Below are 21,206 nucleotides of genomic sequence, written 5' to 3'. Positions count from 1 at the left end.
GAGACTCACAGCCAGGGTCAAGAAACTCAGACAAGGCTTAGCATAGAGCACACAGAAACCCCTTCAAGGGAACAGGCTGGGTGTCAGGGCACACATATCTGTGCCTGGGTCATGACAGGCTGCCCCTCTTGGGGCAGCATGTGAAAGAGCCCCCTGGGGTTACAGGGTAGACTCACCCCAGATGGCCTCCTGGAGCTCCAGAAATGTATGCCATCCTGGTTGGGCTCAGAGGACACAGTCCTTTCTACAAAGAGCAAACGCAACAGCTGGGGTTGTAAGACGTAACATGAAGAGATGTATTAGTCTGTTCTCATGCTGCTAATAAAGACATGCCTGAGACTGGGTAATTTATAAAGGAAAGAGGTTTAATTGACTCACAGTTCAGCAAGGCTGCGGAGGCCTCAGGAAACTCACAATCATGCTGAAAGGCAAAGAGGAAGTAAGACATCTTCACAAGGCGGCAGGAAGAAGAAGTGCAAGCAGGGGAAATGCCAGATGTTTATAAAACCATCGGATCTCATGAGACTCACTCATCATGAGAACAGCCTGGGGAAAACCACTTCCATGATTCAATTACCTCCACCTGGTCCTGCCCTTCACATGTGGGGATTATGGTGATTACAATTCAAGGTGAGATTTGGGTAGGGGCACAGAGCCAAACCATATCAGGGGATGAATGAAAAAAAAAAAGCAAAGAAATAAAGATCTATTAATAATTAATTGCTTACAGTGTGATAAGCCTAACCTTGCATCTCCACATCTAATTATCTCAGTTTGCTTTGAAGACAGCCCTATTAGAAAGCTATTATTAGTGTGTCCATTTTACAGTTAAGGAAACTGAGGCTTAAAGAAGCTAAGTAACTTTTGCAACATCTTGCATCCAGCTTTCAAGCGCCAGGTCTTCTGACTCCAGATGCTATGCACACAGGGCACCATGTGAACAACAGCGTGAACCCAGACAGGAGAGGGCTCATCACGGGGCCCAGTCTCTGCGTGGAGTCACATAAAGAAACAGGCTCACACAATCACACCTCTGAATGCTCAAACAAAATTTAGATTATTTCCATTTTTTGTTGGAGTCTCTCAAAGAACATCAAAGAGAATGCAATTCATAACCCATAGTAAGGCTTTTATTTCTAAATCCCTATTCCACTCACTCTTGGTCTGTCCCACACCCTGTAGCTGCCCTCAAATTCTTTCTATCCATCCCCCTCTCCCAACATTTTCCTCTCAAACTTCCAATCCCACACGATTCTCCCAAACCTAGTGCCTTGCGTCATTAGTTGTCTCCCCTTTCTGATCCTCTCTCTGTCTCTCTTTGTTTTCCAGTGACCAAATATTCCATAATCACTTTTCACTCAATTACTCAGACCCACCTGTCTCCCTCCACTTCTCCTGTCTTTCTACCCATTGTCCTCATCCCCAACCCAAGCTGGGGCCTGAAACTGGCAGAGGATAGCCCAGCCCATTTCAAGCCTAGGGGGAGGGGACCTAGTCAGTTCTTCGAAATGGATTTCTTGTGAAGGGGCTGATAAAGTTGAATATTTGTCCCCACCCAAATCTCATATTGAACTGTAATCCCCAGTGCTGGAGGTGGGGCCTGCTGGGAGTGTTTGGGTCATGGGCATAGATCCCGCATGGCCTGGTGCTGCCTTTGCGATAGTGAGTGAGTTCTCATGACATCTGGTTGTTTAAAATGTGTGGCACCTCCCCACCACCCTCCCTCTTGCTCCTGCTTTCGCCATATGTGCCTGCTCCCCCTTCACCTTCTGCCGTGATTGTAAGCTTCCTGAGGTCTCACTAGAAGCCAAGCAAATGCCAGCACCATGCTTCCTGTACAGCCTGCAGAACCATGAGCCTATTAAACCTATTTTCTTTATAAATTGTCCAGTCTCAGATCTTTCTTTATAGCAATGACAGAATGGCTTAATACAGAAAATTGGTACTGAGGAGTGAGGTATTGTTATAAAGATAACTGAAATTTTGGAGGCAGCTTTGAAACTGGGTAATAAGCATATGCTGCAAGAACTTGGAGAACTCAGAAAAAGACAGAAAGATGAAAGAAAGTCTGGAACTTCTTAGAGATTGGTTAAATGGTTATCACCAAAATGCTGATAGTGATATGGACAGTGAAGTCCAGGCTGAGGAGGTCTCAGATGGAAATGAGGAATTTATTGCGAATTTGAGCAAAGGTCACACATGTTACGCCTTAGCAAAGAACTTGCCTGCATTGGGTTCATTCCCTAGGAACCTGTTGACTTTTGAGCTTGAGAGTGAGACCTAAGGTATCTGGTGGAAGAAATTTCTGAGCAGCAAAGCATTCAAGAATTGGCCTGGCTGCTTCTAACAGCCTACGCTCAGGTGTGGGAGCAAAGAAATAACTTAAAGTTGGAATTTATATTTAAATACGAAGCAGAGCATAAAAGTTTGGAAAATTTGCATCCTGGCCATGAAGCCAAGAAAGAAAAAGCTTTTTTCAGGAAAGAAATTTAATTGGTTATAGAGCAACCACTCGATAGAGAAATTTACTCTTAACTAAAAGGGAGCAAAGTGTTAATAGCCAACATAACGGGGAAAAGTCCTCAAAGATATTTCAGAAAACTTCCAGGCAGCACCCCCGCCACGAGAGGCCCAGAGGCCTAAGAAAAAAGAATGATTTCACAGGCCAGCCAGTGCCCCCGCTACCCTGCACAGCCTCAGGACAGTGCTCCCTGCATTCCAGCTGCTGTGGCTCCAGTCATGGCATCAGTCATGATTCAAAGGGCCCCAGATACAGCTTGGGCTGCTACTCGGGAGAGCGCAAGCTGTAAGCTTTGGTGGCTTTCACGTGGTGTTAAGCCTGTGGGCACACAGAGTGCAAGAGTGAAGGCTTGACAGCCCCTGCCTAGATTTCAGAGGATGTATGAGAAAACCTGGGTGCCCAGGCAGAAGCCTGCTTCAGGGGCAGAGCCCTCACAGTAACCTCTACTAGGGCAGTGTGGTGGGAAAATGTGGGGTTGGAGCCCCCACACAGAGTCCCCACTGGGGTACTGCCTAGTGTAACTATGGGAAGGGGGCCACCACCCTCCAGACCCCAGAATGGTAGATCCACCAGCCACTTGCAGCATGCACCTGGAAAAATCATAAGCACTCAACCTGTGAGAGCAGTAGTCAGGGCTGATCCATGAAAAGACCACAGAAGTGGAGCTGCCCAAGACTATGGGAACCTATCCCCTGCACCAGTGTGCTCTGAATGCAGAATATGGAGTCAAAAAAGAGAGATTATTTTGGAGCTCTAAGATTTAATAACTGCCCTGCTGGGTTTCAGACTTGTGTGGCGCCTGTAGCACCTTCCTTTTGGTTGATTTCTTCCTTTTATAATGGCAATGTTTACTCAATGTCTGTACCCACATGGTATCCTGGAAATAAATTACTTGGTTTTGATTTTACCAGCTCATAGGTGGAAGGGCCTTGCCTTGTCTCATAAGATTTTGGGCTTTGGACTTTTCAGTTAATACTGGAACAAGTTAACACTTTGGGAGACTACTGGGAAGGCATGACTGTATTTGCCATGTGAGAAGGACATGAGATTTGGGAGGGGCCAGGGGAGAAATGATGTCATTTGGATATTTATCCCTGCTGAACTCTCATGTTGAATTGGAATACCCAATACTGGAGGTGGGGCCTGGTGGGAGGTGTTTGGATCATGGAGACAAATCCCTTGTGGCTTAGTGCTATATTCATGATAGTGACTGAGTTCTTGCGAGACCTCATCATGTAGAAGTGTGTGGCACCTCCCCGTCAACTCTCTCTCTCTCTCTCTCTCTCTCTCTCTCACTCCTGCATTCATGATGTGAAGTGCTTACTCCCCCTTCACCTTCCGAGATGATCATCAGCTTCCTTAGGCCTCCCTAGAAGCCAAGCAAATGCCAGCACCATGCTTCCTGTAAAGCCTGCAGAACCATGAGCTGATTAAACTTTTTTTCTTTATAATTACCCAGTCTCCAGTATTTCTTTACAACAATGTAAGAACAGCCTAATAACAGGGGGTGGGTGACAGAAGGCGGGTGACAGACATGGAGAATGTTTTCCTCCTGACCCATCCTGAGGACAACCCTGTCGACAGGAGGTTGAAGGGCAAGTGGTGACCAGCTGCAAAGCTCCATCCATCCAGAGGCAATCCCTGGAGGCTTCCTGGAGGAGGAGATCTTCAAATTATTTGTAAAGGGTAGGCAGCATTTAGGTAAGAATAATAAAAAATAAAAAGAAGGACACAGAAAGGTGGGGAACCATGGAGTTAGCTGCCAAACCACCACTCCGTCTGTAATTAGCCTGAGTCAGTTGAGTGAAATATTCAAACCTTAATGACCTTTTTAAATCTTTGATCTGGGTCTGAAGAGAACTTGAGGATAAGACAATACTCACATTTCCATCAGAGGGTGTTGTTCTTATCAGAAGTACCTATTACCCAACATGAAATAAGAAGCTAAAATTGGATGGGAAAATGAGTTTCTACTTCATAAATACATAGGACAAGCAGTTACATTTTTTTTGAATTGACTTATCTCAGAAAATTGTTTCTCCTTTTATGTTAAAAAAAGCTATATTCTGCTTCTAATTTAATTATTGCAAGTTTTTATTAGAACTAGTGACAGAATTCATAACTAGAATTTGAGACACCTTTTTATCCTTCAAGGGACATAGAGTGCAGGGCCACATTTGTCACCAGAATGAGCCTTTTGTTACACTTACAGGCATTATGGTAATTGGAAGGTGATGGCTTATTGGATGGAAAACATGGGTAGGTACTGCTGGCCGATTCTGTTATCTCTGCCGAAATACCCTCTTCCAGAAACCTGAGAGCACAGTGCTGCTGCAAAGACCCCGAAAGGTGGCCCCAGTGGGGACAGGTCAGTGGCCGCCTAATCCCCAGAACAGGAGCAGCCGCGATGGGCACTGCACCTAGAGAGATACCAGGCCCCCAGTTGCTGGGCCATGCTGAGGTTTAGTCACTGGACAAAAGATCTAAATGTGAAATCCCAGGCCAGAAGCAGGACCCGACTGGGGGCCACAGAAGCAGAGAGTGGGGTCAGAGGGAGAACTTCTGGAATGGACTTCAGTAAGAAGTTCCAAACACCAGTGCTGCAAATATCCTGGGGCCAGGAATCCCGTGGTTGGCCTAAGGGGCCAGAGACAGGGAGACAGGCAAGCTACAACCACAGCCAGTCCCACAACCCAGAAACAGTGACTCATTCACTCTTTCCTTTATTCTTCTCTCTCCTCCTTCCTCCCTCCTTCCACCTCCACTTCTTCACTCTCTGTCTCTCAGCTTTCTTCCTCCTTCTCTCCCTCTGTCCATACCTCCTCCTCCTCCTTAACCTCCTCCTCCTTTCCTCTCCCTCCCTCTAATCCTCCTCCCGTTAACAGTGGAGGGTCTTGACTACGAGTTTTCCAAGTCATTGGCATTTTGAACAAAGTATTGGACAAAATGCACAAACAAAGCAATAAAAGAATGAAGCAACAAAACCACAGATTTATTGAAATGAAAGTACATTCCACAAAGTGGGAGCAGTCTCGACCAAGTGGCTCAAGATCACAGGTTACAAAATTTTCTGGGGTTTAAATACCTTCTAGAGGTGTCCCATTGGTTACTTGGTTTACATTCTATGTAAATGAAGGAGTGGCCTGTGACCAGTCTGATTGGTTTCAGAAGGTGACCAATCGGAGGCTGAAGTGAACTTAGAAAGTTATACCCTACGCAAACATCTGACTGGTTGTGGGAGGGGACCAATCAGAGGCTGAAGTAAAGTTACAAAGTTACACCCCTATGCAAATGAAAACTAGGCTCGTGTCCACTCTGATTGGTTGTGAGAGGGAAGCCATCAGAGGTACTTTCCATTTCTCATCTGCCATGCAGAAAGGGGGTGGGGATTGCAAAGGGAGTAGCTTCTATTCTTTTGTTATGTGGAAAGTTGGGTTTTTCCTTTTGATTTAGTTCTAGGAAGTCAATGTGAATTGGCCTTAGGTTCCCTGCCCCCAGTACCTATTTTCCTGCCTCATTTCTCCCCCATGAGAGATGTGATCCCCATAAAGTCTTCACGGCAGGCAGAGAGACTGACGGTCTTTCTTCTGTAACTGCTTCATCCTGAATTGGGTGCAGTCCCTACCTATTGGGGATCACAGAAATCCTGCCCTGCTCTGTCTAGTGGAGAGAGGCTAGCTTCTTGATGTCCAGGGGTGGTGTCTTTACCTGGAAGCCTTGCTGCATCATTATCTGCAGCTTGATGGTCTCCAGGCAAGAGGAAATGAATTTGGTTAAGAGATTTAACAAACAACATCCGAAAACCAAGGGAAGTATCATCATTAATGAAGGGCCAGCTAGAGGAAGGAGTCATGAACCCCAAACTTAGCATTTTTGATCAGGAGTGCCATGACTTGGACAGCTGTTGTCATATATCAGAGGCCCAGTCAGCTAATTTTTCTGGGTAGCATTCCTTACAAATCCTGATTGGTTGACATAAAAGCAGCATTCTTCTTCTAGGAAAAAGACATAAGCCACCTTTTTTAGCATTAGGGAGATCCAGTCCCCTCCTATTTTATAAAGTGACTGCTGCCAAGAAGTCTATCTGATTTTGTAAGGTGACGATACTTTAGGCAATGCCATCCAAGCTTTTCATAAAATCCTTGGACAAGCATTGATAATAGGATAGGGAAGTTGCAAGCCCGCTAACCTCTGTTCCTATTCCAGCTGTTACGCCTAGCCCTACCAAAAGGGTATGAGTTGACTGGTTAATCTGTGCCTGGCAGTTGCAGTCAAAGGTAAAATGAGGAATTGGTTATTGGGAGCTATATTAATTGCCAGGGCTAAATAAACAAGTGTACAGGTTCCAGTCCAGTTGGCTGGTAAACATAAGTAGGAACCAGTTCCACGCAGGAAAAAAAGCTCCTTGTTGTTCAAGACAAAAATTGTTTTCTATGATGAACATGTGGGTTAGCTTGCCATTTTTGTTTTTCCAAGTAGTTAAGGTCCCTGCTAAGATGGCCCCAGTTAAAGGCTGGAAAGGACCTTGGGAAGTATCCCGAGTTGCCCCAGCAGTTCTGTTTTCCGAATGGAGTTAGTTACACTTAGTGTCCTCCAACAATCACCCAAAGCTATTTTCATACCGGCAAATCAAAAGGCAACCAGATATCTGAGGATCAGTACAGTCTTCCCAATGGAAAATGTGAACACAGCTAGTGGGCCTACCTTGACAGTACTTAGACTGTATATCCTTTAAAGTGTCCTTAACTCAGAATGATTTCCATGAAAACCATACAGGTTTTCTAAATAATGCTGATTGGGTAACTGCATAGCTTACATGATTATGTGAGGGATTAATTTCCAGGGTGCAGTTGTGTCGATGACTTTTCAAGGTTTCCAGGGCCTGACAAAAATTGTGGCTTCTCTTAATATAAAGTGGCACCTGGAATTTTAGTTCTGTGTACATTGATATTGGCCACCAAATGGGTTTCTAATGGGACGTAACCCCAGAAAGTTTGTTCTGATGGGACTGGAGGAGGTTTACTACTCATACTGTCATTCTAACCCTTGTCATTTACATAATTTTGAAGTCATATAAGTCATCCAGGCTCATTAATTTGAAGGGAGTTCCACCCTTATAGTTAGGAATGATAGGTTATTTTCTCAAAGGCCCAAGATTGGGCTGGGATTGAGATGGCAAAGTATTGGGATGATGATGGAGATAAACAAAGCCAACAGTCCTCTGCCAGAGTGGGGCTGGTGGTATTTAACATTCTTTCCATTAAATGTAAAGTTCTTAATAAATACCCAGAATCCATTAACTGATGGAGAGCTAAAGAGAAGCTGTTGTAAAATAAAGTTGATTCCCATATGCCTGGTCCCAGTATACACAGGCTATGGGTGACTATTATGGAACACAAAAAATACATATTTGTTATTTTGTTCTATAGAATGGGAACTTTGGGGTAGGGGTGGTGATGGATACCTATCCTGTCAGGAATGATTGTTACAAAAATGGATTACAACATTTTACTTTGCTTAATTATTAGAAAGGAAGTGATTCTATCTGTTTGGAGGAAAGAAATTAATTGTAAAAATATAACAATGGCTACTATTATCCAGCCTACAGCAACTATGCAACAAAGACACCAAGGAAATTTGGGAAGTATTTACTTATCTTTTGGCTGTCTTTTAAACAGGTACTTCAGGTCTTCCACAGGTTCATAGGTGTACTGGCTGATGACAGCTTCAGATTCCAAGTCCAGGGCTTCAGGTGTCTCAGGCTTGACCCTGGAAAGATGTATCCAACCATCTAATCCTATTACTTTGACCACAGAAGGCATGACCAGTCCCACTGAAAATGGTCCCTTCCATTTGGTTTGCAATTTTTGAGCAGGTGATCCCTCCTTCCATGTTTCAACAAGTACATTATCTCCTGGCCTGATTTTGGGTTGCTGGTTAGTTCCTGGTGTCGGCAGTCTTTGAGTTCCAAACTTTTGTATAGCCTGCTGAAATTGTCCTAGGCTAACTAAGTATTTTATTAGCCTGGCCATTTCTGGATCAGTAATAAATCATTAGTTTAATATGGCCTTCCATATAACATTTCATGTAGGTTCATATTAATTTTTGCTCTAGGGGAACTATGGATCCTTAAGAGGGCTATGGGCAGATAAGCTGACCCAAGTTTGTGATGTTTCCTGACATAGCTTAGCTAAAACCTGTTTTAGAGTTTGATTAGCTCTTTCCACTTTTCTGGAGGATTGAGGTCTCCATGATGAATGTAAATGGTATTTGATTCCGAGAGCCTTAGCAACCCCTTGAGCTTTCTAGGAGACAAAAGACAGGCTGTTATCACTTTGGCAGCTTTAGGGTACCCCATACTGAGGGATTATTTCCTTTAAGAGAATCTTTATAACTTCATTAGCCTTCTCTGTTCCGGTAAGGTAAGTTTCAACCCAGCCAATAAATAATAAAGGTGTCTACTAGTACTAGCAAAAACTTGTATCCTTTGCAAGCTAGCATATGGGTGAAGTATAATTACCAGTTTTCCTTTTTAACTTTAGCCAATATGTTCACACACAGAATCTCTTTTATAATTAATTTTTAATAAACCTTACACAACTTGTTCAAGCCTCTAGATTTTTCCTATCTCACTTAAAACAATCCTTTAACAAAACTTAGGCAAAAATCCACATTCTCATGACTTTTATCAAATGTATATTCTACTTTTCCTACACAAGTCCTCTTCATGACTTACACAGACCATCTATGACATGCTTGGACTCTCTGACTTGTCCTAAACATCCCTTGTTTTAAACAACCAGGCATTTTACTTTAGGACAAGCATTTACCATACAAGATCCTTTCTCATACAAAGTTATTGTCTCTACAACCTTTCCTACCAAAAACACATCTTCATACACATAATGTTCTTCACATCTCTCTCCCCTATTTACTGGTTCCTTCCTACCTTTTTTAATAAATAACCCCTTTTTAAAGTCCATAATTTGCAGCCAAAAGACACATGAAAAAATGCTCATCATCACTGGCCATCGGAGAAATGCAAATCAAAACCACAATGAGATACCATCTCACACCAGTTAGAATGGCAATCATTAAAAAGTCAGGAAACAACAGGTGCTGGAGAGGATGTGGAGAAATAGGAACACTTTTACACTGTTGGTGGGACTGTAAACTAGTTCAACCATTGTGGAAGTCAGTGTGGCGATTCCTCAGGGATCTAGAACTAGAAATACCATTTGACCCAGCCATCCCATTACTGGGTATATACCCAGAGGACTATAAATCATGCTGCTATAAAGACACATGCACATGTATGTTTATTGCGGCACTATTCACAATAGCAAAGACTTGGAACCAACCCAAATGTCCAACAATGATTGATAGACTGGATTAAGAAAATGTGGCACATATACACCATGGAATACTATGCAGCCATAAAAAATGATGAGTTCATGTCCTTTGTAGGGACATGGATGAAATTGGAAATCATCATTCTCAGTAAACTATCGCAAGGACTAAAAGCCAAACACCGCATGTTCTCATTCATAGATGGGAATTGAACAATGAGAACACATGGACACGGGAAGGGGAACATCACACTCTGGGGACTGTTGTGGGGTGGGGGGAGGGGGGAGAGATAGCATTAAGAGATGTACCTAATGCTAAATGACGAGTTAATGGGTGCAGCACACCAGCATGGCACATGTATACATATGTAACTAACCGGCGCATTGTGCACATGTACCCTAAAACTTAAAGTATAATAATAATTTTAAAAAAAATAAATAAATAAATAAAATAAAATAAAGTCCATAATTTGAATTAACTTTCAGATAACTTCTAAATTACACAAAATTATTTTTTCTCTCACTAATAACACATCTTTTGGCACATTTTGAATATAGAATTATGTGCTAACTAGAATTCTAATCCTTGGTAACCTTAAATTTTAGTGAAACCCTAAAAAGCAAAAATCCTGAACTATCAAATATAAGCATTTTATAAATGAGAACGATTCCACACTTTTAGAAATATATTTCCCCTTATGTAGACCAGCACTGTTTCTCTAATGTTCAGCTCAGGAATCAGGCATCACAGATTCTCAAAAAGCATTTACTCAGAAAGTAAGGGCATGTCTGTACCCACCTACCCACCTGCTCACTGAAAAAAATTTAAAACACCTTTTTTGACATCAGATTTATCTCTATTCTGGAATCCAGGCTTCCACAAACTTCTTGTCCTGCCTGGGGTTTTCTCTCCCCTGGAAATCTTTTATGAGGTCAGGAAAGGCACAGGGAGGTTCTGAAGTTGGGAGCGCCAGTTCGACATGTGACTAACATTGTCCCATGAAGCATTTTGGGGGCTTACAAGGCCTGCAGATTCTTAGACAGTGAATCTGTGACTTGTGGTCTATTTCACAGGGTCATCAACTAAATCAAACAGAAATGAAGTGTAAATTGCTGGGCAATAATGCCTTCCGGGGGAAGTGCTTCTTACACAGTGCCTGGCACAGGGTTGGTCTCAATGTGTGTTTCCAGACCTCCCTCATTTCCTCTGAACATCCAGATAAACCAGAAAGCATGCCTTCAGTTTCCTCCCAACTAAAGGTGAAATGTAGCCCCGTGGTGCTGAGGGTTCTGACGGCTGGTCTTCCCTCTGCCTGCCATGTCACCTTGACTCTTCGGGGGCCTGTGATTTAGCAGCATGTGCTCAGCTCAGCACAGATTAAGTTTCAAGGCGTATACAGTCTTTTGTGATGTGAGAGCCAGATGGGGTTTTTACTGACGTGTGCCACTGTTGAGCATAATTAGACTGAGGCAAAAAACCATGGAGTCACCCAAGAAGCAAGTCAGCAGGGCTGGAAGGATGGGGAAAGGGCCTTGTAGATGTTTCCAGCAGGAGGGTGGGGCCCTCCAATCTTAGGTGGCTTCTGGGGCCTCTGTCGTTCACCTCATTCTTATTCAACCACAAGAATTATGCCTTCCCAAGTCATGGGGGGACAGTCTGAGAAGGTGAAAGATCCATGCAGCCATGCGGCAGCTCCTGCTTGGGGGGCTCTGGAATCTGCTCTGCGTGGAAGGAAAGTCTCAGGCTCACAGCTGCCTGGCAGGTGTCCTACCTGGCTGACTGTCCCTCAGGGCATCCCAGGTCCTCCAGCCACTGCTAGGCACTTCCAAAGATGAGCAGCTCCTGACTCCTTCTTCTGCAGGTTTAATAGTTAGAAAACCCCTCCTGATGTGGATGTCCTTGGAGAAGTTGTCCTAGGACATGAAAAACATCCACACTTGCTAGCATATCCACTCACCCATGTAGCTAGCCACTAGTCCTCTGGCTGCCCTGCCCTCAGGGCTCTCCCATTCCTGCCCAAGCTCCAGCATCAAAGGTCTCCTCACAGTGCTTGAAAATGCCACTATCGAGGCTGGGCACAGCAGCTCACACCTGTAATCCCAGCACTTTAGGAGGCCAAAGTAGGTGGATCACCTGAGGTCAGGAGTTCGAGACCAGCCTGGCCAACATGGTGAAACCCCATCTCTACTAAAAATACAAAAATTAGCTAGGCATGGTGGCAGGCACTTGTAATCCCAGCTACTCAGGAGGCTGAGACAGGAGAATTGCTTGAACCTGGGAGGCGGAGGTTGCAGTGAGCCAAGATTGTGCCACTGCACTACAGCTTGAGCAACAAAGAGTGAAACTCTGTCTCAAAAAAAAAAAAAAGCCACTATCTCCATCTCCACTATAAAAAGTATTAATTTTAAATAGCAAAAAACATATGGACTATCAATAGTGCAAACATCCAATAATCATCACCCATCATCACCCATAATTAACAAACGTTAAGAGCTTGTCATTTGACTTTCTTATCCTGACCCCAGAAGCAGCCACTATTGTGAAATTGGTGGGTATCCTTCTGTTCCCATATTAAAACTTTGTATGTAAATATAAATGAATACATTGATTTATATATAAAATGTATATGTGTTTACCTATGCACTTTACATGTATGTAAATATATGTTGAGTGTTAGAATATGAATTATATGTATATATGTTAATATATACAATACAAAGCAGTATATGGAATTCTTCTATCCTCTTTCAAAATTGGCGTAAATGGTATCTCAATTTTGTGAAACTTATTTCTTTCTTTTAGTCTGTGTTCCTGAGACTCATTCAGGATGAAATATTGCAGAGGACTTAGTCAAACTCAGGGTTAGGAGCTCAGCTCTCCAGATGGCCAAGCCAGCCAAGATTTCTGACACACGTCCAGGGGTCTGCAGGGTCACTCTCATTTCTGGTCATCTGGCTACAAAATTGGAGGTTTCCACAACCCCCTCAGGATGGATAATTCACAAGAGTGACTCACGGAACTCAGGAAAATGCTATATTTATAATTACAGTTTTATTACAGTAAAATGACACAAATTAGAACCAGACAAAAAGAGGGACAGCTAGGGCAGGTCTAGGAGGGGTCCCACGGGGAAGCTTCTGGTCCCATTAATCAATCCCCACAAAGGCCTGGCTGGTGTTACCTCCTCCCAGGTAGGATGCATGAGGACACTCCAGCATGTTGCCAGCCAGAGCCATCAGTGTCTGTGTGGCTGGCCCTTGGTCTCCTGTCTCTCCTGCAAGGTCAGGCTGGTATCTTTGTTCTCCAATTCCTCCAGAGGTTGGGACTGATGTGGCATGTCCCGAAGGCCTCATCATGAATCACATGTTTAGACTGCAAACATTGGACACTCCTAGAGGGAAGAACATTCCAGGAACCCAGAGATCACTCCCAGTAGCCAAGGACATAGGCCAGATCTCCCTTTGGGTAAAGTTACTTCTTCACTCTCCACATATAAATCCAGTTCCTCCATTTTCCCTGCTGTGTGGCATTCTGTTGCCCATGCTTTTTCTTAATGCTGGATCTTCATGCATGGATGTCCTCCCTGGATGCTTCCTCAGGTCTCAGCATGATGGCTGCTTCCTTGTGAGGCCCCTCCTCACGCCAGGGCCAGTGTTTCTCAAAGTACAGCCCTCAGTCACCCTCCATCACAGCTATAGTGGAGTGCATGATCAAAATTCAGATTCCTGATTCCATCCCAGCTGCTGGAATATGACAAGCTGAAATTTGTATTTTTAATAAACTACACAGGCAATTCTGCTATACATTAGACATTGAGAACAAGTGTATTAACACACACTCCAAGATTTGTTGATTAAATCTGAATTTTGTGTATTATCTGGCAATACACAAGCAGCAGGTGTTTATCAATGATGAGTTCCTTCAACCTCCACTAATAATTTCCAATCATTGATCCTGATTTCATGTTTAAAAAGCAAAACAAACACACCCATACTTGCGCTCAAATATAAAGTGATTCCCTGTTTCCTCGATTTGAAATTCTCTCAAAGAGACTATGATCACCCTCCATGGAGAAAGCTCCTGGGACAAGACGAAGAAGTCTATCAACCCAGCAATCCCATTACTGAGTATGTACCCAAAGGAATATAAATTGTTCTATTGCAAGGACACATGCACACACTTATGTTCCTTTTAGCACTATTCACAATAGCAAAGACACAGAATCAACCTCAATGCCCATCAGTGATAGACTGGATTAAGAAAATGTGGCACATATACACCACAGAATACTACACAGCCATAAAAAAGAACGAGATCATGTCCTTTGCAGGAATACGGAAGGAGCTAGATGCCATTATCCTTAGCAAACAAATGCAGAAACAGAAAACCAAATATCGCATGTTCTCACTTATAAGTGGGAGCTAAATAATGAGAACACACGGACACATAGAAGGGAACAACACACACTGGGGCCTGTTGGAGGGTAGAGGGTGGGAGGAGGGAGAGGATCAGGAAAAATAACTAATGGGTATTAGGCTTAATGCCTGGGTAATGAAATAATCTGTACAACAAAACCCCAAGACACAATTTTACCTATATAACAAACCTGTACGTGTACCCATAAACTTAAAATAAAGGTTTAAAAAAATATTAATAATGCCTATTAATAACACTGAAGTTGTTTGGACATATAGCATATTTGAGTGATATAGAAAATATGGACTTGGAAACATCGCTTTGTCCATCTCATTCCTGATGAGACAGTTTTACTCAGGCTCTTCTCTTGCGTCTTTGACGTCAGTGCCATCGCTGGGGTCACTTAGTGAATGATCAATGTGGTTTTCCAGAGTACACCATCTTATCTTACTTCTCAGGTTTTTGCAATTGGTACTTTTTGACTCCACGTATGAATGGAAACTGATTCCTCATCCAAGTCCTCATTCATAGAACACAAGGAGAGTTTGTTTTTCGTTTGTTTTTATTGCGGGTGCACATCAGTTATCTCCAGAGGACTGCTGGCCATGTCACTTTTTAAAGTGGTTCTTCAAAGCCGTGTGCAATAACCCTCAAAGTTTCAAAATGTAAAGTCCTGCCCCCAGGGAATATTCACCAAATCTGTGCTAATTTTTATTACTTTAAGAAAAAATTTCAATCCCAATTTTGACATGTGCCCTCTATAAGCACCCAACGCTGGAACTGAAAGAGATTGTCTCAGCCAAATGTGTCTTCCAGAGTCAAAAGATTGTTCTTTAAAATAAAAAGAGAGCCATATGAAAAGAGAAACATTTAAAAACACAAACCTAAAGGTATTCTCCTTTTCTGAGGGATGATTTTTAGAAAAATGCTTCTTCTATTCAGGTTTATATGATAAATATAATTTCATAATTGACATCTGGTATTCAAGCAGCACAGTGGGGGAAATGCCATAAAAATTTGAATTTGAATTCAAATTTTTAACTCTACTCTTGAGAAAACAGACAAAAGAGGATAGCTCCAATAAATTAATTAGGTCCCACAAAGCCATGACAGTAAGTTAGACCATTTTTATAACCTTAAAATACTATATTGGCTGGATGTGGTAGCTCACCCCTGTAATCCCAACACTTTGGGAGGCTGAAGCGCGCAGATCACTTGAGATGAGAAGCTCAAGATGAACTGGCCAACATAGTGAAACCCAATCTCTACTAAAAATACAAACAAAAAAAAATAGCAGGGCATGGTGGCAGACACCTGTAATCCCAGTTACTCAGGAGACTGAGGTGGGAGAATTGCCTGAACCTGGGAGGCAGAGGTTGCAGTGGGCCGAGATCACGCCACTGCTTTCCAGCCTGGATGACAGAACCAGACTCCATCTCCAATAAATAAATAAGCATATATTACACAGACATAGCAAGAGAAATATTGTATTTTTCCCCTACTAGAATCCCTCCAAAGGACTTACCTACTCATGGTAGATAAGTCACGGTCATGTTGTGGAGCAAGACAAGAAACCTCCCTTTGTCTTGGGGGGACTCCGGGTGTATGCATTGCGGAGACATGAGGGATCATGGAAAGATGAACAACCGGCGGCCTCTTGCACCACCCATGGCCACACCAATGACCAGGAGCCACGTTGGGGCATTGACACCCCATTTTTTACAGATCTCCCAGCACATCTCTCATTGAGAACGATAATGGCAAAAGGTAAAAGAAAAATCTGGGGAAGAGTTGAATTCTTCAGTATATAGAGTGCCTGCCTAATGATTATGTCTACACAGTGATCTACAGGAACACACTCAAATCAGAAGCATATTGACACACTGCAGTTCAGGAGATATCCCTATAGAGAGTTTTCCCTCTACTTAAAAATACAAGGCATCATTGGGCTGTAGGTCCCATTAGGCAAGGAGAGGGCGCCATCTTGAAATGGCCCTTCCATCAGCACCGACAAGTGTAAGTTCTGTGCCTCGTATGCTTAGAAAGAGCCTGGGTCTGTCTATTTCCTTTGTTGCTCAAAGATCACTCTTATCTGGTTATCATTTTACCATCCACTGGGGAGTCCCACCACAGCAAGCTTCTTGAAGTCTGCTCTAGTTAGATGTGAACTGACCTCTTCTGTGCCCATCACAGGGTAGGGAGGAGGGAGCTGGCTGCAGAAACAGACCCTGGCATCTTCTTTGAGAAGCACTGCTTTTTAATTACTTCACATAATGTTTTGATATAACCCAGTTCTGTCCAGGAAGTTATCAGGTAGGTGGGACTCAATATGCTGTGCAAACTGAAGACGCTGCTGCAGACCTTCATGAATGAATGGGATAGAAAGTACTCAGACATTCCAGATCTTAAATCTCTGCCTCCACACACATTAAAATCTCTCATCAAATGATTACCCATTAAGGAAATGCACACAGAAAAAAATGCATATAGAACCTCTCTCCAAAGTGTCTAAAAGTGCTGTTTCTGAACCGAGAAAATGAAGAGTATTTGGGAAACATATGTGTTTAAAGGACCAAAATCTAAAGCAAACATTTAATCAATTAATACCTCCATTAAAAAGTAATACGTGCTTAAATACCTAGCAAGGAAATGTGCAAGACTGTTAATCCTTTCCGCTTACGGTTCTTATCATTCGGTATCACTGCAATCTTGCTTCCCTCGCATTCCCCAGGAGGAAGATCCAGCAGGAGTGAGAAGAAAGGTGAAACCCACAGGCAGGCATTCTAGATGAACTCTCTCTGGCTGAAACTTTGTTTTTAACTGTTACCTCCCACTCCCCAGTCAACCAACTACAGTTGCCTTTATTTGCATTTTAATAGTTACCCTAATTCCAAACTTAAAATTATAGACTTTTCCCAGCTGCTTTTTAAATGCTACATTATAATTTTGAGGAAGCATCATACATAATTACATTTAATAGACACAGAATTGATTGAAACACTTAGCTGGAACAAAAAGCCCAGACCTAATTTTGTAAACATGTTATTGTACAGTAACCCCCAATGAGTCTGTTCTTAAATCTCCTAATTAATTTTTAATTAAAAAGCTCAAAGATGCTATTACACTTGTTGTTGTAAATGGCAGCCTCATGCAAGTAGAAACGACAGAGCAGTGCAAACAAATATCTCCCATTAAAATCTTCGTTAAGGAGAACTGCTGTGTTCAGGATTTCTGAGATAGAAAAGGGGCAGAAACCACCATTTAAGGGAACCATTAGATGGAAGCTTCTTCCCCCCTAACTTGTAGAGATATGTGTACATCAAGTGTGATGAGTCTGTATAGGACAAGCTGTCCCAAACCTTATTTAAACATATCCTTCTTCTCCCCTTTTCAATATCCAGCTAAATATAGCTGGTGCATTCAGTGGCAAATTATATTTAATACTGTTACAAGCCAAAGACGCTTCTGCTTCTTGTGATGATGACTCTCGCTCTCCTGTTCAAATGCCATCTCGATGTTAAATTACAGTGCCCCTCCTCACAGCCCCTACACAGGCAGACACTCTCAGCCTCTCCATTTTAATATCTCCATCTATCAGCCCAATCTTGCAAGAGTTTTGTTGTAATGCAGTAATTGAAACTCTGTTTCTCTGGGGATATAGGTGATGTCACAAATGGAGAATTATTAATAGCACCAAACACTGCAAGTGTCTTTTTTCAATGCAGTATCTTAATAACAGGAGGAAAAGTGTTTCAGCAAAGACCAGATCATTCTCCTTGCCTGTAACTCAAACATGATCAGCACATCATCAGACCAGGTGTCCTTCCTCTGCCTGGCTGCTCGGGGAATGAGCCCCGTGGAGGACGGTAATTTAGAAGTTATGGCGCCCTGCTTACTAGCCACACTTTGTAATTAAAAGGAAAAATGTCCGTTGCTGTCCTTGTCATCATTGTTCCTAAAAAGGCAAGATTTGTATGATGCATGGGCATCATTCTGTGAGTTTGGACATATCTCTCCTTTTCAAATATTCCAAAGACAGATCCCAGTGCTATCCAAAACTTCTAGGCCAGGGGCCAGGGTTCCTTACAAAAATGAATTGTTCATCTTTATGCCATCTTTATCTTTATGCCATTTCATCTTTATTCCATCTTCCCCTAGAGACCAGGGCTTTTCAACCTCAGTACTATGGATACCTGGCTGTGGGAGGCTATCTTCTGCACTATAGGGGGTTTAGCAGCATTCCTGGCTCCCACCCACCGGATGACAGCAGCACCACCCCTCCCAGTTGTGACAGCCAAACAGGTCTCCAGACACTGCCAGGTATCCCATGGGAAGAGGATAAAATTGCTCGCAGTTGGGAACCACTACTATAGATTGAACAAAGAAGGATGCCCTTAGGGGAACCATCCACATCCACATGAATAAGAGGCTGGATATTGACGTGGGAAGCAGCACTGCTGACAGGAAGACTCGCCATAAGGGTCTCAGATTGAGTCAGGCAACTAAGAAGATGGGCTGGTGTGTGTGGGTGTGTGTGTGTGCACGTGCGCACGTCTACTTGAGAGAAGCCTGTGTCTGTGTGTGTATGTGTGCGTGCACGTCTACTTGAGAGAAGCCTGTGTGTGTGTCTGTGTGTGTGTGTATGCACACAAGTACTCAGGCATGTGTTTGTGTAAGAGGAGACGGCTGCTGAGCCAATAGGGAAGTTTACAGCTCAACAAGAAGAGTTAATTCGTGCTCAGACTTTCAGAAACACCTTTGTCTTCTCTTTTGAAAGAAAGCTGCTGAAAGCCAGGAAGGAGCAGTGAGTCCACCTTAGGACTTGCCAACCATGCCACTTATTAACACGCCCCATGGAGGAGCACAGGCACATGCCTGAAGCCCAGCCAGCAGTGGGAGCAGGCCAGGAACCAGGCACAGGATGAGGGGAGACCCCCCAGAGCCATCTGGCCCGAGCTGCCCAGGCAGAGAAGGCTAAGAGGTTGTGAAGGAGGTCTCCTGAACAGGGTGGGCTTTGCTTTCTCAGATGTGTCCCTGTCTATCAAATGGACACACTCCGAGAAGGACATCCTCTGTGATAGTTAACCAAATCACATTGGCAACATGCTCTCTTGTTTAAAGAAACTCAATGGCAATTCTTTTGAGAAGAGGGAGAAGCATTCCTCTGTTATGTGAACCCTCTTTCTTAATTTCTATTTTTTCTAGTTTTGATGTTGGGGGCTTCTCTAGCAAGGACCATTGTCTACAGGATGTGGTGCCCCCCAAATGACTGGAAAAAAAACAGGAATAAATGATGCCCCAGGAGAGAAATTCTAGGCATTAGACAGAGCTAGAAGGCCTGAGTCTGAATTCTGACTCAGACCTCAGCCACATCACTCAGCCTTTCTCAAGGTAACAAAATCTGTTCTCTTTATCTCAAAGGGTGTGTAAGGATCATATATGCAAAAGGACTGAGTAAACTGTAGATTGCTACTGCAGATAATGTTATTTTTCTTTTTATTTTTTGTTTGTAGCAAGAAAACATTTCTTAGTGGCTGGCAGCAGTTAGATGCCGGTATAGATAACGTACCGAGCTTCAGTAGCAGTCTAACAGGTTCCGGCTGCCTCTTCCAAAAAGCGGGGACTTATCCTCATGGCTTCAAGGTCACCTGCAGTCCTTAGCTGTCCCGATAGACTTCTCTCTCCAAAAGTCCCTATTTTTAGCTGTTTTCACAGGGGCACCCAGAGGCAAATATTATACAGAAACTGCCACATGTAGACTGTGATAACCCACACCTGCTGGACGGGAAGTTAACCTTTGTATAAAGAAGAGGGTTGGCTGAGTCAATTTATGACAAGAACAATTTGGAAAAGGTAATGCTGGAACTACTCAAGTCCTTTCTCAAGCATCCTCCAGCATTTCAGAAGCACCTACCAATTAATATGTTAATTACAAACCATTCTCACCTGTTCAGGAAAGGGCCCCTGAGGTCTTCTTCCAGGGGAGACTTTCAGCTTTATGAAAGCCACTATATTGGAAGCAATAAAAAATATTTTCCTTCCCTCCATCCTATCCTTCAAACTTGTTCCCATTTCTAAACAATGTCCAACCTCAGTCAAAATTCCTGAGTAGCGACTATATTGCATTTCTTCTGCAAAAAGTAAAAGAAACAGCAAATATGGAAATTATTATCTTGATTTATACCCCCTTCCAAAGTTCACCTCTCATTTGTCTGGGATAATTTTCCTAAATCACTTACATTTTGTCTTATTCCTCAGCCAGAGTAGATTTTTATACTGGAATTTCAGCATCCACCTCCACTCCAATTCTCCCTTGTTCTGGTGTTCTCTGTCTCTTCGGAATGCCTTGAAGGTATTTGAGCCCAAATTATGTAGGTCACTGCAATCCTGTGTTCCTGGGATTTGAGTTGTAGCTTTGAAATTGTAATAAATGTGTCAGCAATTCTTAAGGTACTAACCTTTGTGAAGTTCATACCAAGCAGGACTGAGAATCAGGTAAGTTTTAACCATGATCAGCCTAAATCTCTGATGTCTAAACTTACATGCAGTACTGCACCCCAGCCAGCATCTTGCTTCTTGAGAAAAGTGTTTTTTAAAAAGGTAATGGTGTTCCAGGCTTCTCCCTTCCAACAGAGAGAAACCGATTCTGCATGTCATTACTAGCCAGCCCTCAAGGGGCATTGTGGAACCTGTCTCTAAAAGAAATCAGTGCTGTGTCCCTATCATGGTTGTCATTAAATCCAGCATTCTAGATTCTGTCACGGAAATGATTCTGATAAACCACCAAGTTTATTAGATCACATACAGATCACAGAGCTATTCAGTTGCAAAATATCTGCAAGATTTGTTCACCCTTCCCTCTCTGGACCCTCCATGAGAGAGAGGTTGGGCCAGTTTGGATTAAGAATTGCTGAGCAGT

General features: G+C 43.0%; 2 long non-coding RNA genes across 2 annotated transcripts in view, besides 1 other annotated feature; both read right to left on the bottom strand.

Moving 5' to 3' along the window:
• The window catches only part of MIR646HG (MIR646 host gene), a 183,765-nt gene that overhangs the window by 29,490 nt on the left and 133,069 nt on the right, over positions 1-21,206 (bottom strand). The gene's annotated exons all lie outside the window — the stretch shown is intronic.
• Positions 5,493-21,206, bottom strand: part of LOC105372698 (uncharacterized) — a 31,484-nt gene continuing 15,770 nt past the window's right edge. The window contains exon 2 of the long non-coding RNA NR_171673.1: positions 5,493-8,290. This is a non-coding gene — a long non-coding RNA (uncharacterized LOC105372698). The remainder of the gene's footprint in view (positions 8,291-21,206) is intronic.
• Positions 19,919-20,420: an enhancer, noted in NCBI's record as "NANOG hESC enhancer chr20:58847405-58847906 (GRCh37/hg19 assembly coordinates)". NCBI's record gives its function as "activates a minimal SCP1, AML or CMV promoter by ChIP-STARR-seq in primed H9 embryonic stem cells {active_cell/tissue: H9 hESC(primed)}" and the evidence as "EXISTENCE:reporter gene assay evidence [ECO:0000049][PMID:30033119]".

This window comes from Homo sapiens, chromosome 20, assembly GCF_000001405.40.
Source record: "Homo sapiens chromosome 20, GRCh38.p14 Primary Assembly".
In the NCBI taxonomy this organism is placed as follows: Eukaryota; Metazoa; Chordata; class Mammalia; order Primates; family Hominidae; genus Homo; species Homo sapiens.
The sequence above is the reverse complement of the archived record's forward strand: the minus strand, read 5'-3'. Positions and strand labels throughout refer to the sequence as shown.